Raw genomic sequence first — 19,886 nt, 5'->3', positions numbered from 1 at the left:
TGGGGCCTCTGAGTGTCTCCATCAACATTCACACCATCCTGGGCCCCCTCTGTGGACTCAGTCCAGGGAAGAGTGTGGTCTTCTTCCCCTGACACCCTGCAATTGGACCCCCTCACCCAACCTTCTGCCTCCCATTGTGGCCTGTGGTCTCGCCTTGCACCCCTCCTCCTCCACTACTCTGGGGCCCACAGTCAGGACTATGAAAAAGGGGACAGGGAGTGTGAAATGTCACAATGAGACTGAGAATTTCTGAGGCTCAGGAAACCTTTGAGTTCCAGTCTCCTAATCCACAGGTTGGAAGGCTGACGGACAGGGACAACAGAACATTTATGGGCAGCAGATTCCCAATTCCTCACCTGGGCTTCCCTGCTGTGGAGCAGCATGGCAGGGTGAAGTCAAAAGGAACAGGATGGACTCCCAGCTGATCAGCCACAAGCTGTGTGACTTGGGGATGTTGCTCTTAACTGCTGTGCTTCCCATTTTCCTGTCTGTGGCATAGTAACTATCTCATTGTGTGGTCAGAGAATTAAATGAGACCATGGATGTAAAGAGTACGGAGTGGTCCCAACACACAATAAATGCCCAATAAATGTTTATTATTGTTATTATTATTATTATTGGTTTGATTTTGACCTGGTGATAAGTCTCAGTGTGGAAGGGAAAGGCCATTCGGCCATGGCAAAAGTTTCACTGATGAAATTGATGGAAAAGAGGAGGAAAGAGAGTGAGGCGGGGGCTTCAGACATCTCCAAAGAGCTGTGTCTGCGACCTGAGCTGGAAAGAAAACCTGAATCCCACCTCCACCTGAAAATTCCCAAGGGCAACAACTCTCCCCAGAGACATCCTCAGGCCAAAGCTGGCTCTGTTGACCTCAGGGACACTCAGGCTGGGTTGGGCAAAAGGGGAAAGGAACAGCCACATGGAAGCCGAGACCTGATGCTGAAATCATGCCTTCTGGGGGCCCCAGAAGTGTTGAGGAGAGCGTCCCTTCCTCTGCCCTTCTCAAGCACCAGGCCTCTCCTCTTGAGTTCCCTGCAGCCTTTGTGGACTGATGGGCCCTGTAGAAAAGTGTCTATGCCTGGAGTCTGTCTACCTTCAAGACCCTCATGGGACAGTGGGTCACTGAGCCAGAGCTCAGGAGGGTTAAGGTCCGGCCTGTTGTAGGGAGGATTCTCCCACCCCAAAAGCCTTCCTCCTGGGAACTTCCTGACTCACCTAGGAGCCCACAGAGGGCACTTGGGTTGAGGATCTGCAAAAAAGCCTAGGAGCAGCCTTGGGGAAAGAGCCAGAGCATCTTTAAGCATATGGGACTTGCCCTCTAATCCCAGAGAAGCCAGGGTGTATAATTCATGGCACGCCTCCCCTCCTATGAAATGACGTAGTCCCAACTCTCCCTTTCCTTGAGGCTGAGCCACTGGATACATGGAACATATCTGTCTGGTTGGCCCCTTTCATCACCCCCACAATCAAGGAAGGAGGACAAATAGGATTTTTATAGGGCCCACCAGCACTGACCATTGGCCCCTTCTCTTTGCTCTTCGCTACCCTAATTATCCACCTTGCTACTTAGCTCTGCCAATATCCCAAGCTCATAAACCTAGTTTAATGGTGATTTGGGGTTTGACACATCTCAGTCCTCCATCCCCCTACCAGATAAAAGGGGGGAAGCTGAGCCTGACTTGATCATCCTGCCCCGGTTCTTTCCTCCAGGGCCGCATTTCTCTGCCTCTCTCTCCTGCCATGTCGTACCACTCTTTCCAGCCAGGCTCCAGGTGTGGCAGTCAGAGTTTCAGCTCATACTCGGCTGTCATGCCCCGGATGGTCACCCACTATGCAGTGAGCAAGGGGCCATGCCGGCCCGGGGGTGGTAGGGGCCTCCGAGCTCTGGGCTGCCTTGGCTCACGGAGCCTGTGCAACGTGGGCTTTGGGAGGCCCCGGGTAGCCTCCAGGTGTGGAGGTACCCTGCCTGGCTTCGGGTACCGACTGGGAGCCACCTGTGGGCCTTCTGCCTGCATCACCCCTGTCACCATCAATGAGAGCCTGCTGGTCCCACTGGCACTGGAGATAGACCCGACTGTGCAGAGGGTAAAGAGGGATGAGAAGGAGCAGATCAAGTGCCTCAACAACCGTTTCGCATCTTTCATCAACAAGGTAAGGGGGCAGTGGCCCAGGGCCGTGAGAGGACCCACTGCAGATCTGGGGTCTGGTCTTGTTCTGGTCCAAGGGAACCAGGAGGAGACTGACATTGAGGAGGCCTCAGTTTATCCAGTGGCCTCCCTCACATTCCACGACCACCAGCCTTTGAAAGCCAGTTAGATCAGATTCTGCACTAAACATTTCTGCTTCCTTGTCTTTCTTAAAATATATCATCTTTCTCTGAATATTATCTGACAAAATCACCAATCACCAAGGTTGCCTGAGGTCAGACTATAAGAGGAACTTCCAAAGCAATACTGAAAGGAATGACCAGAGAGGCAGAGAAATGCCCTTCCTGATGAGGCTTTAACAGTAGAACCGCCTTCTGTGTGCCTGAGCTGTGTCACAACTCTTGAGCCTGAAGGTGAGGATGGACACTGTGACCTCAGAGTTTCCAATCATTTTAGGCCTGGGATGAGAGGAAAGTGGACAGTCAGAGCTAGAGGCACAGGGTGACGGTCACAAAAGTCTTACATCTGTCATCTCCAGAGCCACTGAAAGGCTGCTAGGAAGGCATGCCTTCAGAAGGTGCTGAACTGAATCTGCACCCACTGCAGGAACAGTGCAGATTCCCACATCTACAGCACAGCACCCACTGCAGGAACAGTGCAGATTCCCACATCTACAGTATAGCACCCACTGCAGGAAGAGCGCAGATTCCCACATCTACAGTACAGCACCCACTGCAGGAAAAGATGTGGCATGCCTTCTGAAGGTGCTGAAGGACTCAACAGCCTCTGGGTCCATCCCACGCCCCAGGGAGGCTCTTGGGGTGAGGATTCATTCCACAGTTTGAGCTGGTGTTTCTGGTGACCGTAAGGTTTAGGGGCAAGAGTCCTGGGCCAGAGGTCAGGAGCCCTGGCCACTGGCATTGACTCTACTCCTACACCCGGAATCCCCGGGCAAGCCATTCACCTCTTGGCCTTTGGACGGTGCTGCCCAGTGAGGAAGGGGAGGAATGACGGTGGGAGATTAGAGGAGGTAATATATGCCAAAGTGCTTCACAGAGGAACTTGTTTAGTCAAACTTACAGTTTTATTTCTAAAGCTTATTAAGTTCTGGCTATAAACTTATTCCAAAAACATGGGCCCGAATTAGCAACAACATCACACCACCTTCTGTTAGGCTGGGAGCCTCCTGTTGATGCAGCCACTGACCAGAAGTAGGGCAATGATACTTCTGTAGTTTTCTTGACAGACAATGCACGATGTGGAAAATTCCAGAGCAAGGGCTGGAGACCACGTTCCCTTAGTCAATGTCCAGCCGGGTGGCCATGGTGAACTTACTCAACTCCTAATCTCAGTTTCCACTTTACGAAAAGGGAGGAGGAGGCCAGCAGCTGTCCACATTACTAGGACCTGGACTTTTTTCAGATACAGCCATGTAGGATGCAGCACAGTAGGTGAAAAGAGCTTAGAGTCCCTTGATCCGTCTTTTCCCCTGAGTGTCCCTAGGCTGTCATAAAGGAAAGCCTCGACCCCCAAGCTTCACATCCTCTGACACTAGTATGAAGTTAACAGAGTCCCTTCCCATACACTGTCCCAGGTAGGAGCTTTGGGAAGCAAAGTGAGGCTTGAAGGGACAGGATGTCTTGGTCAAGGTCACGAGGATAGAGAGAGGCAGGCAGGCAGTGCTGAAACAGGACTTGCCTAGGCCTCTTGGAGAAGTACCATCCACTACAACACGCAACCTCTGAGTGGAAAGTAGGGGTCCACTAGGCTCTCCCAGGCAGGGGAGACACAGACACACATGCCCTCAGATGCCAGTCTATGCAGAGACCCTGATTTTTGCAAATTCTAGTGCACTGGTAGCCATGTGTTGGGAGACAGGGCAGAAACTCATTCCATTGCCCTCTCTAAGTCATGGTCCCCAGGATCTCTGCTGCCTGGTGATATTCCATTCTTGGCTGCAGGTCCGTTTCCTGGAGCAGAAGAACAAGCTGCTGGAGACCAAGTGGAACTTCATGCAGCAGCAGAGGTGCTGCCAGACCAACATCGAGCCCATCTTCGAGGGCTATATCAGCGCCCTTCGGCGGCAGCTGGACTGTGTGTCCGGGGACCGCGTGAGGCTAGAGTCAGAGCTCTGCAGCCTCCAGGCTGCACTGGAGGGCTACAAGAAAAAGTGAGTCAGTGCTGCTTTTACCCCACTGGTGGACCTGGGGCAAGGGACAGAAACAGTCTGGGCCCTGATTCCCCATTTATAAAATGGGAAGCCTAAACTTAGTTCACTGGGTGGCAGAACAGTTAGGTGGGATGGTGTCAGCAGGGCACCCCACTTGGCACACGGTAGGAGCTCTGAGACTGTGTATTGCCATCTCTCTCCCCACTACTCCACCTAAATAAAGCCCTCAGATCTCTCTCTCTCTGTAAAATAAGCTCTTTCATGTGTGGCTTCTGGAGCTCCAGCTTCCAGCTGAAACTGCCTGTTGTGCCTTTGCAGATCCTGAACTACTTCCTATTCCACAGACAGATCCCCAGGCCTCTTCCCTCCGGGCTTTTGTTCCTGCTGCTTCTCCTGCCTGACACACCCCTGTCAGCATCTCTCTGCTCCATGTCCAAGCTACCACAGCCCACCTTTTCTCTCACCCCCAACTCTGGCTTCCTGCACAGCCCTTCTGCCCTTTCCCTGCATATCAGGCTCTAGCTCCTTCTGCCTCACTTCCCAGTTCTTTGTGGTTCCTGTTTTGTCTTCTGCCACACTTGCTCCCCCTGAGGATGAGCTCCAGGTCTAATTCACAGCTTGGAGTAGGTGGTTGATAAGCATATGGTAATTAAGTGCTTTCAAGAGGCTGAGGCCCAGATAAATTTTCTCACCAGGTCCCGGGCTGAGTGCCCCATGGGAATCCAGTGTCCTATGGGAATCCAGTGCCCCATGGGAATCCAGTGCCTTGTGACAGTCCAGTGTCCTATGGGAGTGCATGTTAGAGGCAGGCAAGTTGAAACAGGTGTCTTTCTATTGAGGAGAAACAGGGCAAATATACTGAGAGCAACAGGTCATAAGGGTTTGGGTCAGTGAAGTGGAGCCGTGTTGGGGACACTCACTGCAGGTGTCAACCACATGCCTACTCAATGCCAGACACTGTGCTAGAAAGTGTGGGTGCTATTGAAAGAAAAAAGGCTAACTCTTTCCCAGTCCAGTGTGCACAGACCACCTGCACCTACACACAAACAGAGAAGAAGGGAGAGGAATCCCAAGAAAGGGAAAGAGCGGGAGTCCAGGAAGCCTTCCTGGAGGAGGTGCGATTTGCTCTGGCCCTTGGAGGATAATGGCTCATTCCAATGGCATTATCCTCCATTTTGGAAATGGGGAAAGGACAGGAATGGGTGGCAAGAAAGAGGAAGGGCCTGCCAAGTGAAGGGGACAACTCTAGCAGACTGTGACAGGTGAGATGCAGTGAGGCTGTGGGAGGGCTGGAGGCCAGCCTGTCAGCAGAAGCAATGCCTTTCTTGAGGAGTGAGTAGCAAGGTGAGATTAAGAGACAGGATTTGCAGCTCAAGATGAGAACTTTGGCTTTTAAAAGTGAGACAATCGGGGAAGGATGAGGTCCAACTGGTATTTTAAGAATAATAGCAAACACTTTCACAGTACAGAGCCTGTACCAGGCACTGTCCTAGTGCTCTTCAGGTATTAATGCATGTGACATGTTAGCTCACAACAGCCCTGTGAGGCAGAACTAGTGTTAGCCTCATTCTATGGATGACGAAGCTGTGCATCATGAGGCAGAAAGGCCAAGTCACTTACCCAACTTGCCCACAGCTTGCACGGGACAGAGCCAGAATTCAAACCCAGGGGGCTAGGCTCCAGAGTCCAGGGCCGTTGCTGCAGCAGTTCTGCTGGAAAAAAAGAGAGATGGACATGATGAAGCAGAGAAGCTTTTAATGAATTGATGCTGCTTATCAAACTGAACCCCCTGACCAATTCCCTCTGCCTTAGGGGAGTGGTGAGTGGGCTGAGGAGCCCCAAGGAGCCTGAGGAAATAGCCTGGCTGTCTCTGTGGGTCTGGTAAGATGGATAATTGCTACCTCTGCAAATGGACCACAGGTAGAGGCCAGGCTCTGAACCCTCCCAGCGAGGAGGATGCACAGGGTCAGCCGGGAATTTCAGTGACTCAGAAAAAAACAGCTAGGCCAGCAGCACAGCCTTCTTCTACGTTCCCAAGGGAGGCCACTAGGTGAAGTGAACCTCCTCAGCAGCAAGAGAGAATGAAGGTAGCCTTAAGGAGGATCTCCCAGGGAGGACTCATCGCGGGAGAAGGTTCCTGAGGAATGGGGAGAAGAGTAAACTTGACAAGTGGCTACTCATCCATCTCAAGTGGGTGGAGGAGCTAGAGTTGCCAAGACAGGGCTGGACCTGGGCACTCCCCAGGGCATTCAGTCAGTGACAGGCAGAGTTGCCCCCAAAGGCCTGATGCCAAGATCTCTTCCAAAATCCACAAGCCCGACTAAAGCATTTTTTCCTGCCTTTTCCATCAGATACGAAGAGGAGCTCTCCCTGCGTCCCTGTGTTGAGAATGAGTTTGTTGCCTTGAAGAAGGTAAGGAGGAAGCTCAGAGAGGCAGAGCCCCTGAGCTGGCCTGCGTTGCCCCAGGCCACCTAGCCCTGAACTCAGTCCAAACGTGTCTGCAGCCCACCCACTCTGAAAAAGGGTTTTTCGCCCCTCAGACTCCTGTGCCAGCCCCACTAACTCTGAGAATGAGGAAGGCCGGCCTCCTCTCCCCCAACTTTGTCCCCTTGCAAAAGGCCAGCCATTGGCCTGGCCTCCACTTCCCCACTCATGCAGGCCGAAGCTGGGTTAAAGTCATGTCTAACCCTGCCCGAGCAGCTGGAGATGGGACAGATGCCAACGCCAAACCAAAACAAAAGCTCAAAAGCTCTGCCGCAAGCCCCCAAATACAATTGCGATGGTTCCTCAGACAGGTAGCCAGGTATTTCCAGGCCCAGGCTCTGCAAAGTGGGCTCTGAGATGCTGCTGCTAAGGCTCATTTAAGCCCCACCCCCTTCAGATCCTTTCCCATCAGGAAGCCAGGCCCAGGCCTGGGGTCCCAGGGCTAGGGACCCCTTTTTCCCCACCTCGGCTCCATCACCCCTTCGATGCCCATGGGTGTTCGTGAGGAAAGGTGAGCCCCACGCCTTCCCCCTGCCACCAGCTTGCCTGGGAGGTGGCCCAGCCAGGTCACATTCTGTCCCTGCTCTGCTGCAGGACGTGGACACAGCCTTCCTGATGAAGGCTGACCTGGAGACCAACGCAGAGGCACTCGTGCAGGAGATCGACTTCCTGAAAAGCCTGTATGAGGAGGTACCCACAGCCCTGACCTTGGGTGGTTAGTCAGGGCTGGAGCCAAGGGATCGAGAGGGCAGCAGAGTGGCCGCCCAGTGGGTACATTTCAGGGCAAGCATGGAAAGAGGTCCGCACTGTAGAGACGTTCTCAGGCGGTGAGACTCACAGAAGTTGGATCATCCAGGCCATGGCTCACAGGCCCCTCTGGGAAAGTCTCCACCAAGCTCTGGGCAACCAGAGGGTGGGGACAAGGAGTCAGTTGGTGACTGAAGCCCAGAACAGCCATAGCAGAGTTCTATGCACTCTGCTCTGGGAAGGTCAGAACGGGTTCTCCCCTTCTCCTGTCCCCGGACGCTCAGAGAGCTCACTCCTTCTCACATGGGCCCTGCCCCCAGGAGATCTGCCTGCTCCAGTCTCAGATCTCTGAGACCTCGGTCATTGTGAAGATGGACAACAGCCGGGAGCTGGACGTGGACGGCATCATCGCTGAGATCAAGGCGCAGTATGACGACATCGCCAGCCGCAGCAAAGCCGAAGCAGAGGCCTGGTACCAGTGCCGGGTGAGGCCCTGTGGTTGGGGGCAGGGAGACTGGAGAGGTGACAAACCAGGGGAGGGGAGGACCCCCAGACTCCTTCTCCGCAGAAGTGGGTGAGGAGCTAATGAGAGCCACGCCATGCCACAGACACAGGGAATCCCATAAAGCCCAGCTGCTGTTGTTTCTGCCAGGCCCCAGGCCACTTCCCTGCAGAGCACGTGGGAGGGACCCCTCCCCGCCCCGGACAATCCAGGCCTGTCATCAGGGTGCCAGGGCGCCCAGCAGTTTTTACCTGCAGACTCACTGGAAGTGCTCCTGTAGGCAGCGTTCAGTAAACACTAATTGGTTTTACTGAACTGTAATGATGGCAAAGAGGGCTCTAAGCTTCGAGGCGTGGGAGGAGGCTAGTGGCATGGGGTGGCTACTAATGGTAGAGCAGAAACAGTGATTAAGATGGCCTCAGACTTAATAATTAGGGGCTTGCTTGGAGGGCAGGGGGGCCCTAAGGGTAATTAGATTTAACAAATATCATCATCTCAGCCTCTCCTGCCCTGCCTGTGAAAGGCGCCATGCATGCATGCACTCATTGGTCCACTCATTCAACACTGTGTATTCAGCATCAACCACGTGCCAAGCACAGTTCTAGAAGCTGGAGACACAGCAGGGAACAGAACAGACACTAGTCCCTGCCTTCATGTCGCTTTCATTCCAGAGACAAGCTGGGTTCCAGGGTAGGGTTGGAGGGGCAGGGTGATGGATGATAAACAAGGCACATAAGTGCAGTGGATGTATGTTAGACTGTGATACCAAGTGCTAGGAAGCAAATAAACCAGGGGAAGGGTAGGGAGTGTTGGAGTGCAGTTTCAATTAGGGTGGCCAGCAAGGATGTGCTTCCCAAACCAAAACACCAGCTAGCAGGAAGTGATTGCAAAGGTGGAGCAGCAGGTAAAGGGAGTTTGATGACAGAGGGAACAAATTGTGTCACAAAGGCAAAGGTGTTGTCATTTGATCTAATCTTGAAGGACAAATAAGATTCAAAGGGGAGATGGGGGGAGGGTGTGCCAGGCTGAGCAGCAGGTGCTAGGACACAGCAGCAGAAATTGAGGGGCCTGGAGTGCCATGTGCTGTGGAGATCGGGCTGGAGGGGTAGCTTGAGGCCAGGTCACAGCATCTGCAGGGCTGTGCTAAGTCATTTGGCTTTGTTCTGAAGGCAGTGGGTGCCACTGCCCAGGGAGTGCCCAAAGTGATGCTCTGCCCATTTTCTGGAGCTCCATGGTGGTTGGAAGTATGAAAACTTGAAATGGAGTCAGCTCCTGGTGAACCTGTCTGTGACCCACCCACGGCCAGGTTTCACTCTGGCTGGCCCTTCCTCTGGTTGCCCCTGGCAACAACCATCAGCCATGTTGGGTTCAGGATTACAACCACCTCATTTTCCCATCCTGCTAAGTCAGAATCTTAGAGAAAATTCTATTAGTTGAAGATTGCATTTGGCTACCAGGATCAGAAATTCTAAAAAAAAAAAAAAAAGTTAAAATTGAATTTTTACTTTTTTCTAAAGTAGCTTGAAGTACAAAATAGACTGCCCAGGATGACACAGAGATTCTGTGACATCATCAGGGACCCAGGATCCTTTGAGTTCACCATTCTGCCATCTGTAATACATGCTCCATCCTCTTGGTTGCCTCATGTTCCAAGAAAGCTGCAGCACCTCCAATCTCACATGCTTACGCCTGGCAGCAAGGAGAACAGAGGCAAAAAAAGCCAACTGGGTCATTCCCCCCTTTAAAGAGCTTACCCAGAAGCCCTACCCAGCCATGGTCATAGATCTCATTGATTGGAAGACTGAGAAATATTCTCTTATCTGGGCTCATTGTTACCCTAAATAAAAGCAGTGTTCTATTTGGTTCTGGGTTTTTTCTGTTGCTGTTATTTTTGTTTTTTGTTTGTTTGTTTATTTTGAGATGGAGTCTTGCTCTATTGCCCAGGCTAGAGTGCAGTGAGTGGTGCAATCTCGCCTCACTGCAACCTCTGCCTCCCAGGTTCAAGTGATCCTCCTGCCTCAGCCTCCCAAGTAGCTGGGATTATAAGCATGCACCACCATACTCAGCTAATTTGTGTATTTTTAGTAGTGATGGGGTTTCACCATGTTGGCCAGGCTGGTCTTGAACTCTTGACCTCAAATGATCTGCCCGCCTCAGCCTTCCAAAATGCTGGCATTACAGGTGTCAGTCACTGAGCCCAGCCAGGGGTTCTGTTTTAAGAAGAGGACAATGGATATTTACTAGGCAACTGCAGACTTTCCTACTGTAACCAAATAACAAAAGAGCCAATGAGTGTGATTATGTGCTTATCTCTCATTTTGCATTTTCTATATAATATGCTCCCACTCACTATCAGAAAATCTAAAGTCAGCTAATTTTTTAAAACTTACAAATGTAATCTGTACACACTACTATTCAGAAATTGGATTCAGAGTGCAAAGGTTTTTATAAAAAAGTGTTACCTCAAGGTAGGACATAAATTGCATTTTGTTTTTTTTATTGTTTTTGTGGAAAACATACAAATGTTCTCATCCTGATGGGCAGACCCATCCTAATGGGCAGTCCTTGGTCTGTTAGGCAACCCAGGCTGAGCACAGAAACCCCTTCCAAGTTCCAGAGGCATATCTAAAAGGGAGGGAGCCCTCAGGTGAACTTGGGCTCTGGGACAGAGAAAAGGACCAGACACAGAACAGCTCAACAGAGGAGGGGATCTCAGAGGCTGGAGAAAAATCTAACAAGCCTGGAGCTGGGGATGGGGTGAGATGGGAATCAGGAACAGCCCACATAAAGGACCCAAAATTGCCCAGAAGCGGAAGAAGGTAAAGGAGCAGAACCAGTATGAGAACCAGAGAACACCTGAACTAGGAAGTCACGGGAGAAAAGACTGGGAACAGTGAGAAAAGAGGCTAGGAGATGCCATCTTGTGGGGCCTGGGGCTCTGACCTCTCTGTCCTGGCAGTATGAGGAGCTGAGAGTCACAGCTGGGAACCACTGTGACAACCTCCGCAACCGTAAGAACGAGATCCTGGAAATGAATAAACTGATCCAGCGGCTGCAGCAAGAAACCGAGAATGTCAAAGCCCAGGTGAGGCTGGGGAGGACTTCCTTGCTGCAACAGCCATCCTGGGCTGACTGGCCAGTCTGTGCCGTGCAGGGCGGGTTCAATCCTTGCTGTGAGTGCCATTGAAGAGGGAATAAACTTGTGCTGCCTTGCTCAAGCAGAAGCAAGCCCTTTCTACCAAAGGGCTGACCCACAGCAGGATGAGCAGCCACAGGAAATAGTCAGGTCCCCAACAGAAACGAGGTGACCAATGTCAAAGATGAGAAGCAAGGATGCTTCACTAGGTGCAAGTATAGAAAAGATGCACTCCACGGTCCCTTCAGACCCAAAGACTGTGATTCTATGATCCTGAAATTCAAGGTGACTCTCAGTTGTTCATAAAATCAGACCCACTCCATTCTCCTGGGCTAGGGAAGACCAGCTGGGCATTTAAAACATATTAACCCCACAGAAATTTCTCAGCATACTTAAGAGGAAAATCCCCGCTCTCTTGGAGGTATTTTAGACAGAAAACCCATCCCAGTTCCCTGGAGGAACCAGATGTCGCAATCCTAGGATGAAGCTCGCAAATGTGAGCCTGGCACGTAGCCACCCCCGTGTTCTCTCTGCTCTTCTGCGAGTCTGGCTTGGGGCTCCAGGGCCCCCAGTGATGCTTTTCTGCGCCCCTCCCACAGCGCTGCAAACTTGAGGGTGCCATAGCTGAGGCAGAGCAGCAGGGCGAGGCGGCTCTCAATGATGCCAAGTGCAAGCTGGCAGGGCTGGAGGAGGCTCTGCAGAAGGCCAAGCAGGACATGGCCTGCCTGCTCAAGGAATATCAGGAGGTGATGAACTCCAAGCTGGGCCTGGACATCGAGATCGCCACCTACAGGCGCCTGCTGGAGGGTGAAGAGCACAGGTGAGCTCCTCCAGGAGGGGGTCAAAGATGGGCTACCAGGTATGGCCATTACCCAGCCCTCTGGTGGCGGCTGCTAGTATCTCTCACCCCGTCCCCTACCCACATTCATTGAAAACCCACAGCAGCACATGGTCCACAATGAGGGCGGGAGCGGGGAGATGCTGCATTTACCTGCATCTGTTTGATGTAGATACCTGTTTTCTTTTTCCTCTCATCCCCAGGCTGTGCGAAGGCATCGGGCCCGTGAATATCTGTAAGTAGATGAGCCATGCCCCACTGGCTCTGGAGTCTTGGGGGTTGATCACCCCAACACAGGCAGCCCACACCACCCCTTCCTAGACCTCTGATGCCTCCCCTACCCCAAAGGAAGAGCTCTGTCTGCCGTGAGCTCCCAGGCTGGTGGAAAGGGCTATCCAAATCTTTTGGGAGTCAGACTAGGAGCAGATTTGCAACAACATGGTCCAAGTGCTTCAGGGCCCAGAAGCCACAAATAACCACCCTGACAAGAGGATGCTCTTCTAGAGGAAGAGGATTTGAAGCAAGCTTAGGAAGGAGGGACCAGTAGAAACTGAGAAATGGTGAAGCTGAATCCAGCCTGGCCTTGCCCAGGCTCTAGGGAAAGGAGAGAGGTGCATGGGGACCTTGCAAGCACTTTATGTGGCTAGGGTGGGAGACGCGGAGGCTGGAGGCTGGAATGGGGTGTCTGTAGAGGTGAGTGGCAGGAGGTGGGAGGAATGGCCTGGCTGAGTAGTTTCAGGGCAGTACACTGAGAGCCACACCGTGTGGGGCCCTGAGCACCCCTTCCTGTTCCCACAGCAGTGAGCAGCTCCAAAGGCGCCTTCCTGTACGAGCCATGTGGGGTCAGCACGCCTGTCCTCAGCACTGGCGTCCTCAGGAGCAATGGGGGCTGCAGCATCGTGGGCACTGGTGAACTCTATGTCCCCTGCGAGCCCCAGGGGCTACTGAGCTGTGGGAGCGGGCGGAAATCCAGCATGACGCTAGGAGCTGGGGGCAGCTCCCCCAGCCACAAGCATTAGCATGATCCGAGACATCCAGGAGACAGAGCCCCTGCCCCATGGCCCTGGATGTCACACTCCCACCAGGGCTGAAGACAAGGATGTTCCAAAACCCCACCTCCCTTTATTGACTCCACATTCCCCTCCAGTGTTCCCTCCTTGAGAGCTGAGCTGCCCCTAGGACCCCTCCTTTGCCTCATGAGTCACCTTCCACTCACCTGTGTGCAGACCCTCAGCTAGGCCCAGATGGTGGGGACAGACGGCAGAGAAAGAGCATGCATTGCTCTTAACCGCAGAATGGCAATAACCCCCAAAAGGTCAAATGGGCACACCACAGTTCTGCTCTGTGGATCATCCCATGGAAGTTTCCTCACAAAGTCAGCTCCTCTCCCACCACAGGCTCACACTGCCCTTACTTTAGGCTCTCATGCCCCTAAGAAAAGTGAATTTCCTTTAACACCGCCTGAAACATGCACACTGCAAATATCAAAAGGAGACACCCCCAAATCCCACTCTAAATTCCAAAGCCAAGTGCCACGATTTCAGGATCAGTCAGGACCTGCCAATGTCCTCTCAGCACAGAGAATCAAGAGGTGGCCTTTGGGCAGTAGATTTACTTTCTCAGGTATGTTGAACCCAAACTGTGAGAATAAATCTTTCTCCTGAGCTCACATTGGCAGGTGATGTCAGGCCAATGCCTAGAACAAAGGGCAAAGGGATATGGAATGTTTACTGGACAGTTGGAAAACCAAAAACAGATACCATTTTCTCAATGGAATCAGTTCCCCCTCCACCCATCCCCTTCTGTACATAGCCGCCCCTTCCTGTTCCCCAACCCTTTAGCTCCTTTTGCTTTGAGTCTGATATGACAGTGATGTGGGGCTGCCCCAGCTGACTTGGAGGCCCTGGCTCAGGAGCTCATAGATGGAGGAGGTGTGGGCTGACTACCTCCCAGAAGCCCCTCATGCCAAGCCTGTCCCACTGGGGCTCCAGGGCCTCTGCCCTGAACATCTGGGCTTCTGTTCAAAATAAACCTACTCTGTTCATGGATTATAGCAATCAGGATTATTTACTCTGCTCTGTGGAAAGTGTGATAAGGCTGAGGGGGAACTGGTGAGCAGCTTTTTGGGACTGGAGTCTTCGGAACAGAAATGAAGACTATTATACAAACAGAAACACTACATGTAAATAATTTGCAAATTGCCTGTGGAAGAAATAGGGCTCTATACAAATCACACTTAAAACCTGCACGTCACACCCCAATGGTTTGCAAGTCACTTGCCATGTTAAAAGCCACAAGCCCATTGCACACAGGCCTCCTCACTACATGGTGTCCTATACACATCCTAGAGAAAATCCTTGGGGTCCTCTATTGTGTCTAGACTTAGCAGCCCCCAAGCCCTAGGCTCTGTCCCTATCCCGAACCATTCTCAGTGCCTGGATACCCCCAGCTCCAGGAAAGCAGTGAAGATGGTGGCAGCCCATGGAGTGAGGAGGACCAGGACACTCCAGTCTCCTCTCCCCATTTAGAGAGCCCAAGACCTGGAGATTTGGCGGCGGTGCTTCCACCCTCTGTGAGGCCTCAGTCCCCTTTCCTCTGCCTCACCGACCCCCTGAAACAGCCCCTCCTGGGGGGTGCTTTCCCCCTTATGGCTCCCCTCTCCTGAGAGTTGGGATGACTCCCCACTCTCCCCAAAGAGCACCCATGCTGCGCCAAGCCCTGCATTAGAGGCTGGTGCTGCAGAATTGACTAAGACTCCCTCTTAACCTTGGAAGGACGCTCAGCCTCCCGGAGAGAAGATTCATAAATAATGAGGGCCAAACAGCATGGGAGCCCCAAGAAGCAGCTCACGACTGCCTGGCGAGGGTCAGAGACAGGATCACAGGGAAGACTGTATGGACAGGGGCTGAAGGGAAGTCTAGAGTCAGATCTGAGAGCAAGCATAGTCAGCAGAACCCATTCCTTCACATTCTCATTGGCTCATTCTGCATCTCTCAAGCACCTGCTATGGGGCTGGCTACCCAGGGCCTGGAGACTCAGTGCGGAATGAGACAGCCCTGGTCACGGCCAGTTTACCCCATAAAGCGCAGTAGACACTGTATGTGGGGCCGATGGTAGAGAATGTAAGATGGGGCAGCCACTGTGGAAGACAGCCTGGCAGTTCCTGAGCGTGGTCCCCACAGAGGTACAAGGTGAGTCAGCACTATCACTCTTAGGCATACATCCAAGAGAGATAGAAACCTATGTCCATGCAGAAACATGCCCGTGAAAGTTTATCACATTACTCCTAATAACTAAAATGTGGAAACAACACTGTGTAGACATGTCACAGTGTCTATCCAAAATATGGCACACCTACACAATGGAATATTCTCTGCCATATAAAGGAGTCCTGTGCTGATACATGCTACAGCATGGATGAACCTTGGAAACATTATGCAAAGTGAAAGAAGCCAGTCACGAAAGGCCACCTATTTTACAATTCCATTTGTATGAATGTCCAGAATATGGGAATCCACAGAGAAAGCAGAGCTGTGGCTGCTTAGGGCTGGAAGGAGGAGAATACAGAGCTTAGGGGAGTCATAGAAGCCACAGCTAAAGGTTGCTTTGGCCCGGTGTGGTGGCTGCACCTGCAGTCCCAGCCACTTGGGAAGCTGAAGCAGGAGGATCACTTGAGCCCAGAAGTTCAAGATTGCAGTGAGCTATAATCGCACCACTGCACTCCAGCCTGGGTGACAGAGCAAGACCTTGTCGCTTAAAAAACATTTTTTTTTTATAAAAAATAAAGGTTTCTTCTGGGGTGATGAAAATGTTCTAAAATTGGCTGTATTGATGGTTGCACACTCTAAAAGCCATTGACTCTTACATTTTAAATGAATGAATTATATACAGTAATAGCAATTATATCTCAGTAAGGCTATTTTTTTTAAATGGGGCCTTGGCCGCATGCCCCATGGGCTTACAGCCTACCGGGAAATACAGACCGGGGACACAAAATTACAGCTGTGAGGACTGTTGTGATGGTGGCAGAGCAGAAGGCCATGGGGACAGAACTGAGAGTCCCACCTTAGTCCTGAGGCTCTGGAAGCTCCCAGGAGGAGGGGCAGGCAAGCCTGAGTCCTGGAGGCCCACGGGACTGTCTGGGCAGGATGCCAGCAGCAGGCTCCAGGCTGGGGCATCACAGCTGCCAGCTGGGCACGCAGCACATGGCTGGGGCCTGTGAGTGTGATTCCGGGGATGCACATCCACATGCTGGGAAAGAGAGAAGGAAATGATGGATCTGAGAGCCTTGTTCCCACTTGAAGCCTCGTCTCTCTGGACCTGGGCCTGGATCCAGCTCCACTCCCTGCTGAGGACTAATTCAGAGCACCCTAGAGCCAGAGTGACCCTCCGCCCTGTAGTCAGCAAACAGATTCCAAGGAGACTGGCCACCCCATCTCACAGATGGCTGCTCGAGGCCCAGGAAACGGCCCACCTTGGTGTTGGGACTGAGCTAAGAATGAAGCAGAAGAGGGAAGGAAGACTCCCCCCACTGCGGTGAGGTAGGCTCGGGGCCTGGTAACCACCCTTTTGGGATTTTGGTTCCAGAGTGCCTGGCCCCTGATAAGTGTCTGCTGGGCAGGGAGGCTGCCTGGAGTCATCCCATAAGCACTGCTCATCCCAGGAGTGTGCTCCCACGCTCAGCCCTGGATGTGAGCACAGAGACCAGGGCACCCCCTCCAGGACACCCACCAGGGACTCCCCAGCATCGTGCAGCTGTGTCCCCATTCCCCCTTCCTCCCCAGGAGAGGAGACATTCAAAACAGGCGGGACAGATGTGCCTCCTGGTGGTGGCTGGGATGTCTGCATTCCATTCAACACAGCAAACACCTCCTGAGTGTCTTCTGGGGTCAGCCCTGCAATGGGTGCTGGAATACAGTAGGAACAGGCCCCGGCCCCCTGCCCTGGTGAGAAAGAGAACCGTCTGCATGAAGCCAGAGTTTCACTGTACTCGGCTTGGCCTGGAGTCTCCTAATCCCAGCCCCTCCAGAATGTGCCAGTGAGGATAGGATGGGGAACAACCCAGAGAGGCCTAGGGAGGCTGGGGGGACCTGAACTGGAGCTCTGTATTTCTGTGTCTGTCTCCACAGAAAGTCTCCCATTTCCTGGCCCTCTTCCTCCTGAAGCTTTCAAGTGCTCACCAGAGTTTCTCTCCCTCCCACACAGCTCCTCCTTGTTCCCCTGGCCCCTCCCTTGGGTGACTCTGCCCCTAATGGCCCTTCCTCACACCAGTCACATCTGTGGTCCCAGGTCCACCCACGATTGCCACACTCCAGCCAGGGTCACCAAGTACCCAGAAAGAATCCTGGCAGGGGCTGGAATTGGGAAAATGGCTCTAGAAATGGCACCCTGAGCAGAGGAGGGGGTGCTTGGAGTCGCTGAACCTGGAAGAGGCTGTCCTAGCCATCCTAGCACCTAAGTGCAATGCCAGGCGCACATTAGCAACCAATAAAGGTGTGTTGAAGCAAACTGAACTAGATGTCTACCAGGAGCAACATTTTCACTCTGGACAGGTGACAACCATGTGGGCCATGTGAGACATCGCATTAAACCTGAAAAAACCATCCTTCCTGGAAGAAGTGAGAGGGGTGGGTAGAAAACAAGAAGGGGGTGCTTTATCTTCCGTGGGGAGGCGTGTTCATTCATCTGAGAGGGGAGAGAGGAGGAGGTACTGGCAAGGGTGGACCTAGCCTCTCACACACACCCCCTGCCCCCCGACCCCCACCCCTGCTGGGGGGACTCTGAAGCTTCCTTTCCCAGCAGGAGCAGGTCTTAGCATGAAAACTTCTCCAGCCAGTGCCTCTCTCCAGCACAAACTCGTCCCCAGGCTAAACAGAAGCCCTCTGAAGCCTTCTCAGAATCTGGGCTTCCCCTGTCATCCCCTTTCCCACACACACACCCAGCCACAGTGCAAACAGCGTTCCCAGAACCTGCATGGCCAACCAGGATGTCCCCCTCCCTCAGGCAGCCCTTCCCCTCCCTTTCCTCTGCTCAGCGTTTCTGCCTCCTCCCTGCTCCACAGATAGGATCCTGATGACCCAGCAGCCAGGCATGGTAATGCAGCCACGGAGCCTGGGCTCAGCCCGCAAGTCTCTGGAGTTACACTCAGGCTGACTGACAACAGCAAGAAGAAACTGTTGCAGCAGCAAAACCTCCTACCCAAAGTTGCCAGGGCAACTCCGCCCCCTCTCCCCACCTGCCACCCCCTAAAAAATGACTGAGGGTTGTGTTATGCATCGTCTGGCGAAATAATGCCTCCAAACTGCAAACTGCTGATGGTGACAGTTCATCACAGAGCAGGGACTATGCTTGACTGGTCCCAATTACAATTACCCCCACCCCACCCAGCCTGATCAGGGTTGAGGGAAGCTGGGACATGGGACAGGAATGGCTAATGGGGTATGAATGCATCTGCCATGGGAGCAGGAAGGAGGCGGGTGTGGATGGGAACAGGGATGACTGTGTAGAAGTGAAGGGAGGATTGTGCAAAACAGAGAAGAAAAGGGAGGAAGGGAGGGAGGAAAGAGCCAGGGAAAGGAATGGAGTACAGTAGCAGCTGCCAGGCACTGCACAGTGCACATCCCAGGCACTTCCTAGTCAATCCTCATCATACTATGAAACAGGGAATATTCCATATTAACATGAGGAAACTGAGGCTTAGAGGTTAAACAATTTCCCCAAGGTCATTGGTATACCATAGGGGTGGAAGGGACTACTACCATTATTTAGAATGGCCAATGCATGCTGAAAATTGTTAATAAGCTGATTGGTTGGTTTTAAAGTTCTCTGCAGAAAAGTTCCCCTAGTGCCTGCACCTGCAGCAGAACCTGGCCACCACCCTGCCCTTGGTATAGCACTATCCAAGATCATACTGCTAGTCGGTGACAAATCTGAGTTTCACCCAGGTCCATCTGACTCTAAAATTGATATCATCTTCTGGGTCCCCACCAGGGTTCTCTAGGCAGGCCATCCCTCCCACTCCCTTCCCCTTTCACCTCCACCAGACAGCCTCTGGTCCCCCTGCCCCAATCTCCTGGAACCCCTCGCCTGGCCTCAGAGGAGTGGGATGCCCTTTCGTTCAAGCAGCCTGGCTCAAACCCCAAGAGGCTGGAACTGGGGGACAAACTGGATTGGTTCTCCTTTGAGCTCTTGAGTTTCTGCCCCACCGTCCCCTCCTGGGCCATTCCTGTCCATTTGGGAACTTGGAGTCTCTTTTTCCCGAAATATCTGCAAAATCAAATGCCCAAATTCCTGTTCTTCATACTTCCTATTTCTTTCTCCTCCTGCTTTTAATCTTCACAGCCTCTTCCATTCACTCAACGAAACTATACAGAATGCCCACCATGTGCCCCACTCTGAGTCCTGGGGACCCCTCAGAGAGCAAAATGCACAGCAGTGTCTGCCTCCTAAAGCTTTGCTCCAGCCAGTACAAGTCAACGACAACAACAGGCAAATCCACCCAAGAAGAGGACCTCAGATGGCTGTAAATGCTAAGGCGACAAGGAAGCGGGGCAGGTGTACAGGGAGGACAGGGAGTTTCCAATAGAAGCTAAGAGGATGACATATGAACAAAGCCCTGGAAGAGTTGAGGGACCCAGCCATACAGCTATTTGAGGAAAAAGGTTCCCAGCAGAGAAAACAGCAAGGGGGTAAGCATTCGAGGCAGGAGTCATTCTGCCTGTTTGATGGACAGCCAGGATGCTCAAGTGGCTGCAACAGAGTGGGCAGCGGGACAGGTGGAGGGGATGAGGTCAGGGAAGAGGGAGGCACACTGCATAGTGTCTTACAGGGCATTGACTCTGAATGGGTGGGAAACCATGGGA

The 19,886-nt window shown here is 52.6% G+C and overlaps 1 protein-coding gene across 1 annotated transcript, besides 2 other annotated features; it reads left to right on the top strand.

Moving 5' to 3' along the window:
• Nucleotides 1,683-14,087, top strand: KRT82 (keratin 82). Its single transcript, NM_033033.4, has 9 exons — nt 1,683-2,151; nt 4,109-4,317; nt 6,669-6,729; nt 7,396-7,491; nt 7,869-8,033; nt 11,010-11,135; nt 11,786-12,006; nt 12,228-12,259; nt 12,823-14,087. The coding sequence occupies exons 1-9, from the start codon at nt 1,741-1,743 to the stop codon at nt 13,041-13,043; spliced, it is 1,542 nt and encodes a 513-aa protein (NP_149022.3). The 5' UTR covers nt 1,683-1,740; the 3' UTR covers nt 13,044-14,087.
• Nucleotides 11,524-11,693: an enhancer, noted in NCBI's record as "experimental_29013 CRE fragment used in MPRA reporter constructs". NCBI's record gives its function as "activates a minimal promoter by MPRAs in K562 erythroleukemia cells, with activity observed for the non-introgressed 12:52790194 variant allele {active_cell/tissue: K562}" and the evidence as "EXISTENCE:reporter gene assay evidence [ECO:0000049][PMID:34662402]".
• Nucleotides 11,816-12,317: an enhancer, noted in NCBI's record as "H3K4me1 hESC enhancer chr12:52789485-52789986 (GRCh37/hg19 assembly coordinates)". NCBI's record gives its function as "activates a minimal SCP1, AML or CMV promoter by ChIP-STARR-seq in naive H9 embryonic stem cells {active_cell/tissue: H9 hESC(naive)}" and the evidence as "EXISTENCE:reporter gene assay evidence [ECO:0000049][PMID:30033119]".

Source organism: Homo sapiens, chromosome 12 (genome assembly GCF_000001405.40).
Source record: "Homo sapiens chromosome 12, GRCh38.p14 Primary Assembly".
Taxonomy (NCBI): domain Eukaryota; kingdom Metazoa; phylum Chordata; class Mammalia; order Primates; family Hominidae; genus Homo; species Homo sapiens.
This window is presented reverse-complemented; position numbering and strand designations above follow the sequence as displayed.

Excerpts from the sequence above, each read along its gene's own strand:
- KRT82 (NM_033033.4), top strand. The coding sequence starts at position 1,741 with ATGTCGTACCACTCTTTCCAGCCAGGCTCCAGGTGTGGCAGTCAGAGT. Across the intron at positions 2,152-4,108 it reads TCGCATCTTTCATCAACAAG|GTCCGTTTCCTGGAGCAGAA; the intron begins GTAAGGGGGCAG and ends TCTTGGCTGCAG. Across the intron at positions 7,492-7,868 it reads TGAAAAGCCTGTATGAGGAG|GAGATCTGCCTGCTCCAGTC; the intron begins GTACCCACAGCC and ends CCCTGCCCCCAG.